We start from the raw sequence: 15,783 nt of genomic DNA, 5'->3' as shown, positions 1-15,783 counted from the left end.
GTGCCACTGCACTCCAGCCTGGACAACAGTGAGACCCTGTCTCAAAAAAAAAGGAAAATATTTATGGATTTTATTTCCTGCTGGTTTTATTTCATTTGTCACCCTAGCCTCACTTGCTGCATATGTAAAACATGAAATGAGAAAGGTGATTTTATAGCAGTGATACAATTTAAATTCACAAATGGATTTATTTTGTGTATAAAATGACATGAAATTCCAGATTGGCTAAGAACTTGAATTTGATTTTCAGTATATTAGGTAGATTTGCCTTAGTAAAATGGAGAGATTAATAATCCATGTGAAATTGTGCTCTATGTGTATATTCTTTTAGAATCAATATATTTTATGGAGAAATAGAAACAGGACTTTTATTCAAGAGCCTAGCATTTCTCTTTATAAATATATCAACACAAAAATGTCTTGCTAAAAACAACATATATTAACAATGCCTTGTACACTAGAAAGCATTTTATAAAATAATAGTTACTAGCGCAATATCTGGGCAAATGTGGACTAGGGACGCTGAGGGCACATGAGCATTTTTACAGTGGGGCTCCTACCTTTGAGAAGTTATATGAATTGTGATTCTCTTGCTAAAAGTCTTTAGTAACTAGAATTAATTTCTGTTGATTGTGTTTGATGCACACAGAGAGTAAAATATAATAATGATTCTGTGGTCTAATAGTTAAAATGTGATCATCTATACCAGGTTTAAAATTTTTGGTACCTATGAGAGTGAAAAAAAGGAAGCTTACTAAACCAGTTAGTGTAAGGGAAAATAATGTTTTACCTAAGTGTGACAAATGAATTTCAGATACTGGTTTGGAGTTGCTTTTACATATAACAAATTAATTATGAGTTATAATATTTATTAAAAGCGTAAATAGATTTTTGTCAAAGACATATTTGGCTTCTTTTTCTCTTTCCTATGAAAAATGTTATTGCATATGGGTAATTTAGAAGTAATGAAAATGCCTTACTTGTAAAAAGGGGGATGTAGAAGTTAGAAACTAAGGCTACTGTGTTACCCCAAAAGCAAACATTTCTTCATAGAATTGATATTTTACTAAGAAGTTCTTATATCTGTGATATTATTACAGAATGCTATAATCCTAATAGCTCCCTACTTACCTTTTTTAATAATACAGTCTTGCTGGGTACTTCATGCATTTAGTTCTTTGAAGTTCCATAATGAGCTCAATCTAAGAAATGCCGTTGAATTAGCGAAGAAGAGCCTGATTGAAGATAAAGAGATGCCTGTCAAAGTTGAAGCTGCCCTTGCTCTTCAGTCTTTAATTTCTAACCAGATACAAGGTAAAGCCAAAATACCTTTTAGACATCTTCTCAAATAATTTCATTTACTTTCTTCCCTAATGAAGATGCATCTCCATGTCTGAGGGTTCAGGGTTTGGAATTCTGAGGTTTTGCCCTCTCAGAATTTTGTAGGAATTTATTCTTGTCCTTTTTAGGTGTTCCTATTGACTGTAGTTTTCAGAATTTTAGGTTAGGAAACATGTTAATCATTGTGGGGCCCTAGGATAGGCTGGGCATAAAGAGACCTGGGCCCAGTTTTGATTTTGCTCCTAACTTGCCATGGAAACCTGGGCAAGGTGTGTGATCTGTCAAGGCTCAGGTTTCCACATATTTAAGTTTAGGGGAGTTGGACTGAATGACTTCATGATTCCTTTCACCTCTGGGATTCTGATTCCCCTAGTTTTGAAAGTAGCAAGTAGTATTTCTAGTGAGTGATAACAGACGTCTCATTTGTTCAGTGTTCTGATCAAAGTTCAAATAAACCTTTGAAAGTAAGTTCAGCTTTATGAAGAACGTGAACGTAGTTTGCCTCTATTCAGCAATGTTTCAGTGGGAGGATTGGATATTGTACACATGGCAAGGGAGGGTGGTAGAGATGGCCTGGGGCAGGGAAGGGGCCCCATCAGTATTCGGGATAGTCTTCACGTACATGATTTTTTATAACTTGTCATGAGAACTGATTCATGTTTTCCAAGTCATTCTGATGACCAAGTGTATGTATAATTAGAATTTCTCAGTGGGGGCTATTAGTATTTTGGGATAGTTTCTGCACAGGACAGTTCTCTCCTGTGCAGGACTTCTTATCCTTATATTACTCTTGGGAAACTGATATATTGGTGAACATTATTTAGGTACAGCTTTGTAACTTACCACAGAGCAAGTGTGTATCTAGAACCTGATTTAGGTATTACCCTGGGTCACTTGACCTTGTGACCAAGTTAATTCCTTTTATCATCTGGGCATGGTAATTTTTATTACTTTTGTTTGTTTTATTGAATTAGCTAAGGAATATATGAAGCCACATGTGAGGCCTATTATGCAGGAACTGTTGCACATTGTTAGAGAGACAGAAAATGATGATGTTACTAATGTCATCCAGAAGATGATATGTGAATACAGTCAAGAGGTAGCCTCAATTGCTGTTGATATGACCCAACACTTGGTAAGACCGGGCAGTTTTATGTTAATTTGGTTTAGAAACCTTGAGTAATCTAAATAAACTCCAAAATATGGAGTTCAGTTTTATTTGTACAGTCATGTGCTGCTTAACAACATTTCAGTCAATGACAGATTGCATATACGATGGTGCACTCCTAAGATTATAATACCGTATTTTTACTGTACCTTTTGTATGTTTAGATACAAATAATTCCATTGTGTCATGATTGCCTAAGTATTCACTACATTAGCAAACTGTATAGGTTTGTGGCCTTGGAGCAATAGGCTATGCCATCTAGATTTGCCTAAGTACATTCAATGATGTTCAAGCAAGGATGAAATTGCCTAACGACACATTTCTCAAAATATATCCATGTTAAGCGATGCATGACTGTAACTGAAATATTGATAAAAAAATTATTCTGATATTACTATAGTTCATTAGACTTTAATCACATTTAGGATAATTTCTTTCATCTAGAATATTCTGAAATTTTATAATATGTGCTTTCTAAAGTTTTAATTTCTGGGCTTTGAATCAGGAAGCTCATTTCCTTCAGTTTGGGGCAATTTATTGTTTTACTTTTTTGATAAATTTCTCCTTACTATTTTTTTTTCTGTTTGTATTTCCTGATATGGAGAATCACATCTGGACTGTGTCTCTTAATTTTTTTAAAAACTTTTCCTCCTGTTTTCCATGTCTGTTTTTTTTTTTTGTTTGTTTCATTTTCTAAGTGATTCCTCGACTTCTCAATCTTCTATTGCATTTTTCTTTTTACTATTACTTGATTTCACTTGTCCTAGATTGTGATTTTACTTGCTTAGTGACAACCAGAAGTTAAATATTAGCTCTCTGGATATAATAGTTAATGTAAATAGCTATATTTAAAACATGACAAGTTCTGTTATTTTAAGAAGAGAGATGATTCAGTCAGCAAAGTGCAGACTTCAAAGTTTGAGCAATGCAGACTTCAGATGTGTGACACTGCCATTTTGCTAACTTTTGTAAAGCGGGGACGTAACAGTACTACTAATTGCGGAATACTTTAATGTTATTTTCATAGGCTGAGATATTTGGCAAAGTTCTTCAAAGTGATGAATATGAAGAAGTTGAAGACAAAACAGTAATGGCTATGGGAATTTTACATACCATTGATACTATCTTAACAGTTGTAGAAGATCATAAAGAGGTGAGATTTCTTTGTGGTTTATGATATAATAGTAGCATTTAACTGAAATTTATGTGATCAGTGGCCATGAATTTTGAAGTCTCCACTTTTAAATTGCTACTTAGTTATGTTGCTAGGCTTTAAAAATTGCCCTCACATTTTATGGAAACATATTAAAATGACTGAGTAACATTATAATATTACATCATAATATTTGTAATATTATAATGTAAATATTATAAAGTATATAGTATATCCCTTTATATTAACTTGAGTTCAGTTAATCATATCTGCTATGTGCCAGGCTAGGTTCTTGGGGAATACCAAATTGAATAAGAAATGAGCCCAGCTTTCTGGGAACCAACAATCTAGAATTCTTGGTAGAGAGTGACAGACAGCAGTTCAATCACAGTGGCAAGTGTTAGGTAATGGAACAGAATTCTGATATAACAAGTACTGTAAAAATGGAAAGGAATAAATGAAAGAGCTGAAAAGCATATTTACTCAACTGAATTCCAAAGTGTTATTGGGATAAGACTTTATACAGCTATTTATCTAGTGCTTTCACATCCATCAGCTGATATGATCTTACTGGTGCCACCATGACATAGCTAGCACAGGTAATGGTAGTCTGTTTTGCAGAAGCAGAAAACAAAGTTCAGGTGGATTTAAGAAACTTGCTCATGGTCCCAGAGCTAGTAAGTTGTACATTTGGGTTTGTAGTCACATCATTTTGATAATGTATCAGTTTATCCCCATTTAAAACCTACAGCTGCTTCCCAAGTATCCCATGGCCTCTCCTTAACTCAAATTAGATTTTTGTTCATTGCTTCTGTGAGTGCAAGTTGACTTGTTTGGCACTGATGGCAATTATTGTTTTACAAGGTGAGCACTTAGGAAGCAGGTGCTAGTACTACTTTTATTTGTTTATTTAATTTTTTGAGACAGTCTCACTCTGTCACCTAGGCTGGCGTGCAGTGGCATGATCTTGGTTCACTGCAACCTCCACCTTCCGGGTTCAAGCAATTCTCCTGCCTCAGCCTCCCGAGGAGCTGGGACTACAGGTGTGTACCATCACACCCAGCTAATTTTTATATTTTCAGTAGAGATGGGGTTTCACCACGTTGGCCAGGCTGGTCTTGAACTCCTGACCTCAGGTGATCCACCCGCTTCAGCCTCCCAAAGTGCTGGGATTAAAGGCATGAGCCGCCATGCCTGGCTGCTACTACTACTTTAAATAGCATTGTTAAACCATGTAGCTGTTGGGTTTTTTTTTTGATTTTGTGGGTTTTTTTTTTTTTTGTTTTGAGACAGAATCTCACTCAGTCACCCAGGCTGGAGTGCAGTGGCTCAGTTTCTGCTCACTGCAAGCTCCGTCTCCTGGATTCACGCCATTCTCCTGCCTCAGCCTCCCGAGTAGCTGGAACTACAGGTGCCCGCCACCATGCCCAGCTAATTTTTTTGAATTTTTTTTATTAGAGACGGGGTTTCACCTTGTTAGCCAGGAGGGTCTCGATCTCCTGACCTCGTGATCCGCCCACCTCGGCCTCCCAAAGTGCTGGGATTACAGGTGTGAGCCACCGTGCCCAGCCGTAGCTGTTGGTTTATCCTGTGTTTATGACGTGCCAATGGAAGATGACTTGGTTTTTTTTTTTTTGTTTATTTGTTTGAGACAAGTCTTGCTCAGAGACAAGTCTTGCTCTGTTGCCCAGGCCGGAGTGCAGTGACACAATCTCAGCTCACTTCAACCTTGGCCTCCCGGTTCAAGTGATTGTGCTGCCTCAGCCTCCCGAGTAGCTGCCTGCCACCACGCCAGGCTAATTTTTGTATTATTAGTGGAGAAGGGGTTTCACCATGTTGGTCTGGCAGTCCTGGAACTGCTGACCTGAAGTGATATGCCCGCCTTGGCTTCTGAAAGTGCTGGGATTATAGGCATGAGCCACTATGCCCGGCTGACTTGGTTCTTAAAAATGGCTTGATAAGGCCCGGCGCGGTGGCTCATGCCTGTAATCCCAGCACTTTGGGAGGCTGAGGCGGGTGGATCACGAGGTCAGGAGATCGAGACCATCCTGGCTAACACAGTGAAACCCCATCTCTACTAAAAATACAAAAAATTAGCCTGGCGTGGTGGCGGGCGCCTGTAGTCCCAGCTACTTGGGAGGCTGAGGCAGGAGAATGGCATGAACCCGGGAGGCGGAGCTCGCAATGAGCCGAGATCATGCCATTGCACTCCAGCCTGGGGGACAGAGCGAGACTCTGTCTCCAAAAAAAAAAAAAAAAAAAAAGGCTTGATACTCTTCTGGACTAGTCTTCATTTGCCTAAAGGGCTTAATTTTTATTTTCATTTTCATTATTTTATTTTTGTGTCCTTCTGTATTGAAACTAAATGGTCCTCTTGGTAACAGTGAGATGTTCCAAATTAAATTACAAGTAAATTTAAGGGATAGTTCTTTTGTCTTATACTTAGGACTTGTATTTTAAATTTGAAGAGACCTTAGAAATCACCTTATCCAGTTTTCACAAGTGTGTGTGGGGCGTAGTAGAATGAGCTGCAGGGGTAGTTTAAAAACAAAACAGCATCTTTTCTGTTTTTATTTTTTCTCTTGATATTAAATTTATTTTGAATTCCAAATAATGTTAAAGGGACAGGTGAACTTATTGTGATTATCAAGAGAGGCATGGGTGAAAATTGAGACACACTAATATAGCATCCTTACCTAAAGACAAAAAAAACCTAAAGCCTTCAGCTAAATGGCTTTACCAAGGCCATGAATAATTACAGGCAAAACCAACCGGAATCTTCGTCTCTTGACCAAGATTTTGAGCTTTAACTTATTAAAAGCAAACTTTGAAAACAATATTTCCTTAAAAGGAAAAACCACATTTATGAAACACTGACAAATAGTGTATGAAACACAAAATTGTGAATCTAAAATAGGTGCTTAAGCATATGCATTTTTGTTTAATGGTTTTAAGCATATTGACAGTTTTTTAAAGTGGGAAATTTTGGATCATTTGAACCTTAAGACAGTAGTTTAAGTTGAATATTAGAATATACTTGATGGTTGAAATAGGACATTTACACGAAAAATGTAACCCGTCATAGATTTTAACTTATTTTAAAATATTTGATACCAACATATGTTGAAAAATTCAAAAGATGTGAAAAGAAAATTCAGTGAAATTTTACCTTCTCACTCAACTCCCCAGCTATCTAATTCTCCTCTCTGGAAGCAGCTATTTTTTTCCTTTTTTTTAAACCAGGTTTTCGGGTCCTTCTAGAGATTTTTCTATTAACATATAAGCAAAAAGTGAATGTGTATATTTTTCTTTTACGAAAATGATAGCATGCTATACACAGTTTTTATTTGCCATTTTTAACTTAATATATCTTGATGATCCTTCCATGTCAATCAATAAAGTTATATATTTTTAATGGTTGCTTAATATTCCCTTGTATGATGTGTCAAATTTATTTCACCAGTCCCGGTTTAGTGGATATAATTTAACTGTCTCTTGTTTAAATGGGCATTTGATTGCTAGTAATCACAAACATTGCTGAAATGAATGAATGGCCTTTTATGTGTCATTTTGCACACATAATATGTGTGAAGGGTAAATCCCTTGAAGTGGAATTGCTGGTTTGCATCGTCATTTGTATGGGTAAGTTTGAAGGATGTTGCCAACTTGTCCTTCATTGTGTATACCATTTACACTCCAGAAATCAATATACAACAGGGTCTTTCTTCCCAGCCCCATAATTGTGATCATTTCCAGTCTTAATAGGTGAAAATTGTTAATGTTGCACTTGGAATTTGTACTCTTACCATGTATTATAACGAACATCTTTTTATAAACACAGGCAAAGATTATAAAAAAAGAAACACATTTGTTTTCTATTGTATTTCAATTTTTAAAAATTCACTAATTTTATGTAAGGGGAATTTGATCTTTGTGATACCATTTGAAAATATTTCACTCATTTTTTTTTACTTCCCCATGCCCCATGCAAAATTCTTTAATTTTTTAGTCAGATGATTTCATTCTTTTCATTTCTTATTTCTGGGCTTTGAGTCACTTTCCCTTTTCAGGATTATACAATAATTCTTTTTATTCTATTTTTTTATGGTTTATTTCTTCACACTGAAATCTTTTATCTATTAGGAATTTATTTTGGTATAAAATATATGGTAAGGAACTAATATAAATTGTTATGGATTTTACCCCCATTTCTGTCAGTCTATTTTTCAAAATTTTCTGATTATTCTTGCATGTTTAGTTTTTCACATGAAGTTTAGAATTGTCAAGTTACCGTCTCAAAAATGTCCTCTTGATATTTTTATTGGCACAATATTAAATTTATGTATTAATTATGATAATTTTAAGCTTAATATTTAACATTTATCTTTAGATTACCCAGCAGTTAGAGAATATCTGTCTACGGATCATTGATCTTGTTCTGCAGAAACATGTAATTGGTAAGTTCAAAGGTTAAATAAAAAGATAAATTGAAAAAATTTTAAAAATTTGAACTCAAAGTATAATTTTAGCCCTTCAGATTTAACAAGATGGACAATTTTGAGAAAGAGAAGCATAATCACTTCAATTTTTGGATGTCCTTTCTAGTGTTAAATATCTGTATTTTCATTCAGAGATAAAAAATTATACATCCAACGAATAATTTTTGATTTTAGAATTTTAAAGGACAGTAATTTTAAATTGTACATTGCTAGAAATGAACTGGGATGAGGTTTAGGTGAGGTTACCTTAATCTGGGATTGAAAAATGTTTAATAGGCATTTTTTAAAATCAGAAATGTGAAATGGCTGGGCACCGTGGCTCACACCTGTAATCTCAGTAGTTTGGGAGGCTGAGGTGGGTGAATTGCTTGAGTCCAGAAGTTCAAGACCAGCCAGTGCAACATGGTGAAACACTGTCTCTACAAAAAATAAAAAAAATTAGCTGAGTGTGGTGGCATGTGTCTGTGGTGCCAGCTACTCTGTAGGCTGAAGTGGGAGGATCACATGAGCCTGGCAGGTAGAGGCTGCCATGAATTGTGATTGTGCCACTGCACTCCCCCTGGGCAACAGAGTGAGATCCTGTCTCAAAGTATGAATTAATTGTCCTATTATCTATTATGGTACCTGACTTCTGAGTAGAATCAGTAACTAATGCTAGATGTTACAAGCTGATGGGAATTTTGTAGAGGAGGTGAGTCTTCCATCGTATTCAAGCATTTTGAAGATGCTAGCCCCACGTCATGTGGGTGTGACACAGATGCAAGCTGTGTAGTACTCAGATAGAAGGATGCAGGAAAAGCCTGTCTCTGATTAAGAGCAGTTGTCTCCAGGCTTTTTATTGTTCACTCTGTTAGTAAAAAGTTGAGCATGCACTGCTAATATATGTGAATAATATTTGAAGAGTACTTGAATATAACATGGTAGATATAAACAGTGGGATACTATTCAGCCTTAAAAAGGAAATCCTGTCATTTGTGACAACATGGGTGAACCTGGAGTACATTATGCTAAGTGAAATAAGCCAGGCACAGAAAGACAGATACCACAAGATCTCAAACTCATAGAAAGAACAGAATTTAGTTAGCAGGAAGTGGAGGGAGGGGAGATGTTGGTCAAAATGGTGACCATAGTTAGTAACCATGTATTATATACTTGAAAATTGCTAAGAGTAGATTTTAAGTGGTGTCACCACAAAAAGGTATGTGAAGTAATGGATGCCAGATTTAGTCATTCCACAAAATACATATATTTCAAAACGGTGTATAAATCATAGATACAATTTTTATTTGTCAATTAAAAAATAAATATTTTTAAAAAGTACATCTTTCAGTAAAAAGACCAGTGGTTGCCAGGGCTTGGGGATGGGAGAGAGGGAAGGATGAAGAGGTAGAGCACAGAAGTTTTATGCAGTGAAACTACTCTGTATGATACAATAATGATGAATACGTCACTATACATTTGTCAAAACCCTTAGAATGAACAATGCAGAGTGAACCTTAATGTAAACTGTGGCCTTTAATTAATAATAAAAGAATTTCTGAAAGTTCTGTTTTGGCTTATTTCACTTAACATAGTGTGTCCATCTCTGTTGTTACAAATAATAGGATTTTCTTTTTTTTTTAAGGTGGACTGGTACTCCATCATGTATATATACCACATTTTCTTTATCTGTTCATCTGTCAGTGGACACTTAGGTATTTTCATATCTTGGTTATTGTGAAACATGCTTCAGTGAACATAGGAGGGCACATTATCTCTTCAAGATCCTGATTTTAATTCCTTTGGATATATACCCAGTACTAGGATGACTTGATCATATGATAGTTCTATCTTTAATTTTTTGAGGAACCTTCATACTGCTTTCCACAGTGGCTGTTTTTACTCTCTCACCAAGAGTATACAACAGTTTCCTTTTTCTCTACATCCCCTCCAGCATTTAACTTTCGTCTTTTTGATAATAGACATTCTCGTAGATATGATGTGGTTTTGATTTGCATTTCCCTGATGATTAGTGATTTAAAATATTTTTTTGTATACTTGTTGGCCATTTTTATATAATCTTTTGAGAAATATCCATTCAGTTCCTTTGCCCATTTTTAAGTTGGGTTATTTTCTTTCTACTGAATGGTTTGAGTTCCTTATATATTTTGGATATTAAATCTTCATTTGATATAGATTATAAATATTTTCTCTCATTTTGGAGGTTGTCTGTTCTGTGAATTGTTTTCTTTGCTATGCAAAAGCCTTTTAGTTTGATGTAATCCTATTTTGTCTGTTTTTGCTTTTGTTGTGTGTGCTTTGGGGTCATATCCTCATATAAAAAAAAAAAAAATCATTCCCTGGACCAGTGTTCCAAGTTTCCGTGAAGCTTTTCCCCTGTGTTTTTTTCTAGTAGTTTTATCATGTCAGATCTTAGAGCTTAAGTATTTAATTAATTTCAAGTAGATTTTTGTATGTGGTGTAAGATGAGGGTCTAATTTGATTTTCTGCAAATGGATATTTAGTTTTCCCAGTGCCATTTATTGAAGAGACTGTCCTTTCTCCATTGTGTGTTTTTAGCATCTTTGTTGAAAATTAATTGACCCTAAATGGGTAGATTTACTTTTGGGCTTTGTAATCGGTTCCATTGGTCTGTGTGTCTGTTTTTATCCCAGTGCCATGCTAGAACTTTTAGAAATTCCATATTTAGATAATTTATTTTTCAAATTATTTTCTTACATAAATTATTCATCAATATTTGTAATTTCCATTTTATTTTGCTAGCTTTTGAATATATTAAGTTTTAAGTAATGTTAGAGAAACCTTAATCAAGTTTCCAGGGTGACCACTAGTTTTTATAAGAGGAAAAACCTTTCAAGTTAGACTTCTTTGCTCAGTGGTATGGTAGGAACTATTTGAAATTTTTGTTGAGATTTGTGTTTCCTGGCTGTACGTGTAGATATAATTTACTTTTGACTGAGGATAATGATATTTGTGAGTATAAGAACATTTCCTTTGAACTCTTCTACTTTATAGTGGGTCTTATTGTCTTGATTAACTTGAAGAATACTGTACGTTTTACAAGTTTTGTAAATTGACAAAATACTGCCCAGTATATAGTTGTTAGTAAAAGTATAAATTTGAGATAGGTAGATACTTTAGTCTGATATAATTAAGCTCTCCAAAGAATATTATTAATTATTTGTACATTTTAAATCCTCGACATAAATGAGGAATGATAATCTATTCCTTCTTGTATCTATTTCTAATACAGTTTTATAAATATAGATTATAAAATAGAAAAAAACTTTATTTTTTCAATAGTATAAGAAAGTTTAGTGAAAACAAATTTTTGCCTTGCCTTATTGAACAGAGGGGCAGATCTTGGTAAGAAATGGAAGGAGGCAGATACATAGCCGAAGATACAAATACTGAGAAAGGGAGGCTTATGAGTACATTGGATAGAGGAGGACTCTGTGTGCGTAGGTAGTCTAAACCCTCCTCTGTGTGGTCTTTGTTTTAACTTTTGCTATTTCCTAGCATTCTAACTAGAGATTTTCTTTCTTCTAGAATTCTATGAAGAAATTCTTTCCCTGGCATACAGTTTAACCTGCCACAGTATTTCCCCTCAAATGTGGCAGCTTCTAGGTATACTATATGAAGTGTTTCAGCAGGATTGCTTTGAATACTTTACAGGTATGGCTTTGACCATATAAAATTTTTGCTTTTCTGTGTCTAGATACTTCTTCCTGTTGACACCTGAAATAAAAACACATATGATTCCAATATTGATCAGAAAATGTTTTTATTTCCCGGTCACATAAAAGCTGGGGCTATTGTAGCAGTGTTTTTCAGCCCTAGGTATATAGGCAGAGGAGGTAGGCTGTATTTCTTATTGAGTCTTAAGTTAGTTTATGACCAGAGCATATATCCATATATTAATTTAATAAGTATTTTATGGACACCAACTATATTCCAAGCCCTATTCTAATCTCAGCAATCCAGCAGTGAGCAAAATAAACAGGCTTTGCCCTTTTGAAGCTTACATTCTAATGGGGATGATGGGAGGGTAGGGAATCACGCAGACAAATGAGCAAGAAAATATAAAGTATGTCAGATAGGGATGAGTGTGCAGTGGAGAAAGGGAAAAAATTCAGCACAATTACTTCATAAATGATGAGCATCTTAGTCTTTCTGCTCCACATTTTCCCCATCTATAAATACACATCAGACTTATTACTTTCATTTCTAGCCTTTTGTGGTTGCATGGGAAGATACTAATGTGTGGGTGCTACAGAAATATGGTTTCAGTGGGAATAATTTATTTCTATTTCTGTCACTCAAGTCTCATTGGGATTTTGATTTTTTTTCAGACATGATGCCTCTCCTGCATAATTATGTGACAATAGATACAGATACCTTACTATCAAATGCAAAACATTTAGAAATTCTTTTTACAATGTGTAGGAAGGTAAGCATGACCTAATCTATTGTTTCAGTGGTTCTTAACTAATGTTTGCCTGTTTTGCTTCAGGATACTTTTTCAGTTTGTTTCTTACACATTTAGTTCTGCATTATCTTCATCAACATATATTTTTTCATTTGTATTTTCAAAAGGATCTTTGGGATTTGAAAGTTTCATATTGTGTGTCGTGCTTATGAATGTTTGCCACTTCTATATCTGTACTTTTTACTTTTTGTTTTTTCTTTTGGACATGAATTTTCTACTTGATTGAAGTGCTAGGAAAATTAACCACACGTTTTGTTAATCAGTGACAAATGGAATGATCTTTTTTATTTTTTAATTTAATGTATATATTGGAAGTCACTAGATGTAGGTAATTTGAGCATAAACAACATAAGATAAAAATTTTAATAGTTGGAAAAGCATCATTTAACAAGATAATCTATAATCTACAATCTACATAATGGCTACTGTTATCCTTATACACAAACATGATTGTCTGCCATATTGTCTTTGCCACAAGATAGGTTTGGCCCACTATTGGTTATCTTTTGGGATCTTTGGCTAAATAACGGTTTTCTTCTCCTTTAGGTAAATAAATAAGTAAATATATACATACACACACACACACACATAAATATGAAACTGAAACTATATTGCATAAAGCTGGCAGGCAGATTTTATAAAGCTCAAATAACCAGAAACCAAAACGTTTGGCCGTAGAGCTGGGAGTGAAATAGCTAGTGTACAACCCTCCCAACACACTTTTGTTTTCCTTACCAGAAGGGGTGTACCCAAAATCTGGTAAGAGCTCTGCACTGATAATCAGTAGATCTGGTTTAGGTCTAGGTCTCAGTTCAGTTCTAAAGAGTCAGGGAAATTTTGGGAAGTCAGTAAGCTGCTTCAGGTGTAAAGTGAAGGGGCTGAACTGTGAGTTGTAATGATTCATTTACCTCTGTGGATAACCCATGTTGTTAAATCATAATCACCGGGCAGTCTTCAGTTTTCCCTGTTAGAGAGGTAGCTGATAGAGAAAGAGGGAAAGAAACAAGTAAAACAGTTCTGTGTATTCCATTAGTAATTCACAGCTTCCCCTGTGTATTTGCAGATATAGTAAAATTGATGTTCACAATGATTTCCTTATGCTTATCAAGTAGTTAAAATATATTTCATATTCTTTTATGAATATGAAATACTAGTTTTAATACTAGCTAATATTTGTCGAATTCTTATTGTATACCAGCCATTTTCTAAGCACTTTCTATAATATTAACCTTTATGACAGTATGAGGAAGGTATCACATTTGTATCAAAAGGAAACTAAGACATAGTTTCTTGCACTATGCTGAGGTTAGGAAATAGTTGCAATCACATAGCTACTATGTGTTGGAGCCAGATTTGAACCTAATCTGACTCCAGAGCCTATTTAAAAAATTACAAGATACATTTTTGTTTTCTTTCCTTTTGGCAAACCAAAACAAATGGTCCCCAAGTAAATGCAATTTTGAGAAAAGGGAGTAATTATTTTTCTTTTTGTATCATACGACCCCATGAAGTAGGTTCTTTTATTCCCATTTTATAGATGGGGACAGTAAAAGAGGTTAAGTAACGTTTCTAAAAACACAGCTAATAAGTGGAAGAGCTGCGGTTTGAACCTAAGCAGCCTGGTTCCAGAGTCCATTCACATTTAGAAGCTAGACTGTGGTATACTGTCCTAGAGATAGCATTTTAAATTTATGTAAATACAGTTGACTCTTGGCTTTGCCTGATATCTGCTTATCATTCAGCTCACTATTTTCCAGCTTCCAAAATGTGTATTGCTGTTCTCTCTACTTTTTTCTGTCTTTGTATATGTACATCTTTAAAATTTCTCTGTTGTCATTTTGATAGCATTTTGGGAGAGAATGAAATTAAATGGGAATGTTAAATCTGTCAGAATTATCTGGAATTTCTTAATTAATTTTTCTTAAATTTTATTTTTCTAGAAAATCATCTAATCTGAGTTTTTAAATGTAAAGAATATAGTGTTCTTTATAGTATTATTTCTAATCTGTCTTTTGTCTGTATTTGTCTCTTTCCTAATATTTTTAATGTTTTGCTTTTTTTTCTTCTTAAAAATAACTTATATAAAAAGCTTCTTACTTCGTTAAGTCTTTTTTTTCAATGAATTTGCTTTTAGTTCTCTCTGTTACCTCTTTTTGTCTATATTTTAAATTTCTGGCCCACCCTTATTTCTTTAAGTCTATTCTTTTTCTTATGTCTTATATTTGAATCATTAATTTATTCTTTTTACCTTAAACAATTTTTAATATAAGCATGCTCTAGGAACATTATTGGGAATCTTATTATAAGGCAGTCATATTCCACATTTTATGTATGAACATGTGCATTGTGGAATTGTTTATAATAGTGAAAATACAGAATTAATAATAGGGGAACTGTCTGATAACTTTGTTATATTCACCTACTGTCATATTGTATAGTTATAAATGGTTACAATGTCCATGAAAAATATTCCTAATTATTAAGTTCATGTTGGAGAATTGAAAGGTATGTAATATGAAATTATGGTGGTTATGAAAAAAATGGGTTCATATGGACCAGGATTCAAAAGGAACAGAAAAATAGTTTCATTGTTTAATAAGAAGATTATTTTGTTTTGGTTTTGATTTCATTTTGTAGTTTTGTTGCCTTTAAAGGGAAGCTTCATTTATGTGGAAAATTAGCTCATATAGTCTACTTTATTAATCCAAGGTCAAATAAGTGAATTATTGCTCCTTATAAGAAATGAGATGATGGATGGAATTTATTTTGACCATTCTTCTTTGGGTTGGTGAGGTAAACTTGCACAGCAAGCAAAGCTGTGGTTCCTATGGCTGAATTTATATGGGACATTTGTGCATGTGGACTTGATTAACCTCTATGCAGTGCCACTTACTGCTGAGCTAAATTGTAATTACTGCAGGTACTATGTGGAGATGCAGGAGAAGATGCAGAGTGTCATGCAGCTAAACTTCTGGAAGTCATCATTCTTCAGTGCAAAGGAAGGGGAATTGATCAGGTAATATATGTCTGGAAAGTGCCTTACTTGAGGGTTACATTTGAAGTTTACATGCCTGCTTGACTTTTCATTTATATTATGATGAAAAATGGAAAGGACAGCCTATAGATTGTGCTT

The 15,783-nt window shown here is 34.5% G+C and overlaps 1 protein-coding gene across 5 annotated transcripts in view; it reads left to right on the top strand.

Annotated features, from left to right (window-relative positions):
* The window catches only part of IPO8 (importin 8), a 66,882-nt gene that overhangs the window by 31,067 nt on the left and 20,032 nt on the right, over nt 1-15,783 (top strand). For 4 of the 5 annotated variants that reach the window (NM_006390.4, XM_017018691.3, XM_017018692.2 and 1 more), the window contains 7 exons: nt 1,149-1,314; nt 2,316-2,476; nt 3,537-3,662; nt 8,053-8,119; nt 11,711-11,836; nt 12,514-12,611; nt 15,571-15,666. In NM_006390.4, the coding sequence (NP_006381.2) occupies nt 1,149-1,314; nt 2,316-2,476; nt 3,537-3,662; nt 8,053-8,119; nt 11,711-11,836; nt 12,514-12,611; nt 15,571-15,666 (840 nt within the window). Of the gene's footprint in view, nt 1-1,148; nt 1,315-2,315; nt 2,477-3,536; nt 3,663-8,052; nt 8,120-11,710; nt 11,837-12,513; nt 12,612-15,570; nt 15,667-15,783 lie in introns of those variants that run through there. The other variant, XM_017018693.3, reaches the window with a different exon arrangement.

The sequence above is a fragment of the Homo sapiens genome, chromosome 12 (genome assembly GCF_000001405.40).
Source record: "Homo sapiens chromosome 12, GRCh38.p14 Primary Assembly".
In the NCBI taxonomy this organism is placed as follows: domain Eukaryota; kingdom Metazoa; phylum Chordata; class Mammalia; order Primates; family Hominidae; genus Homo; species Homo sapiens.
The sequence above is the reverse complement of the archived record's forward strand: the minus strand, read 5'-3'. Positions and strand labels throughout refer to the sequence as shown.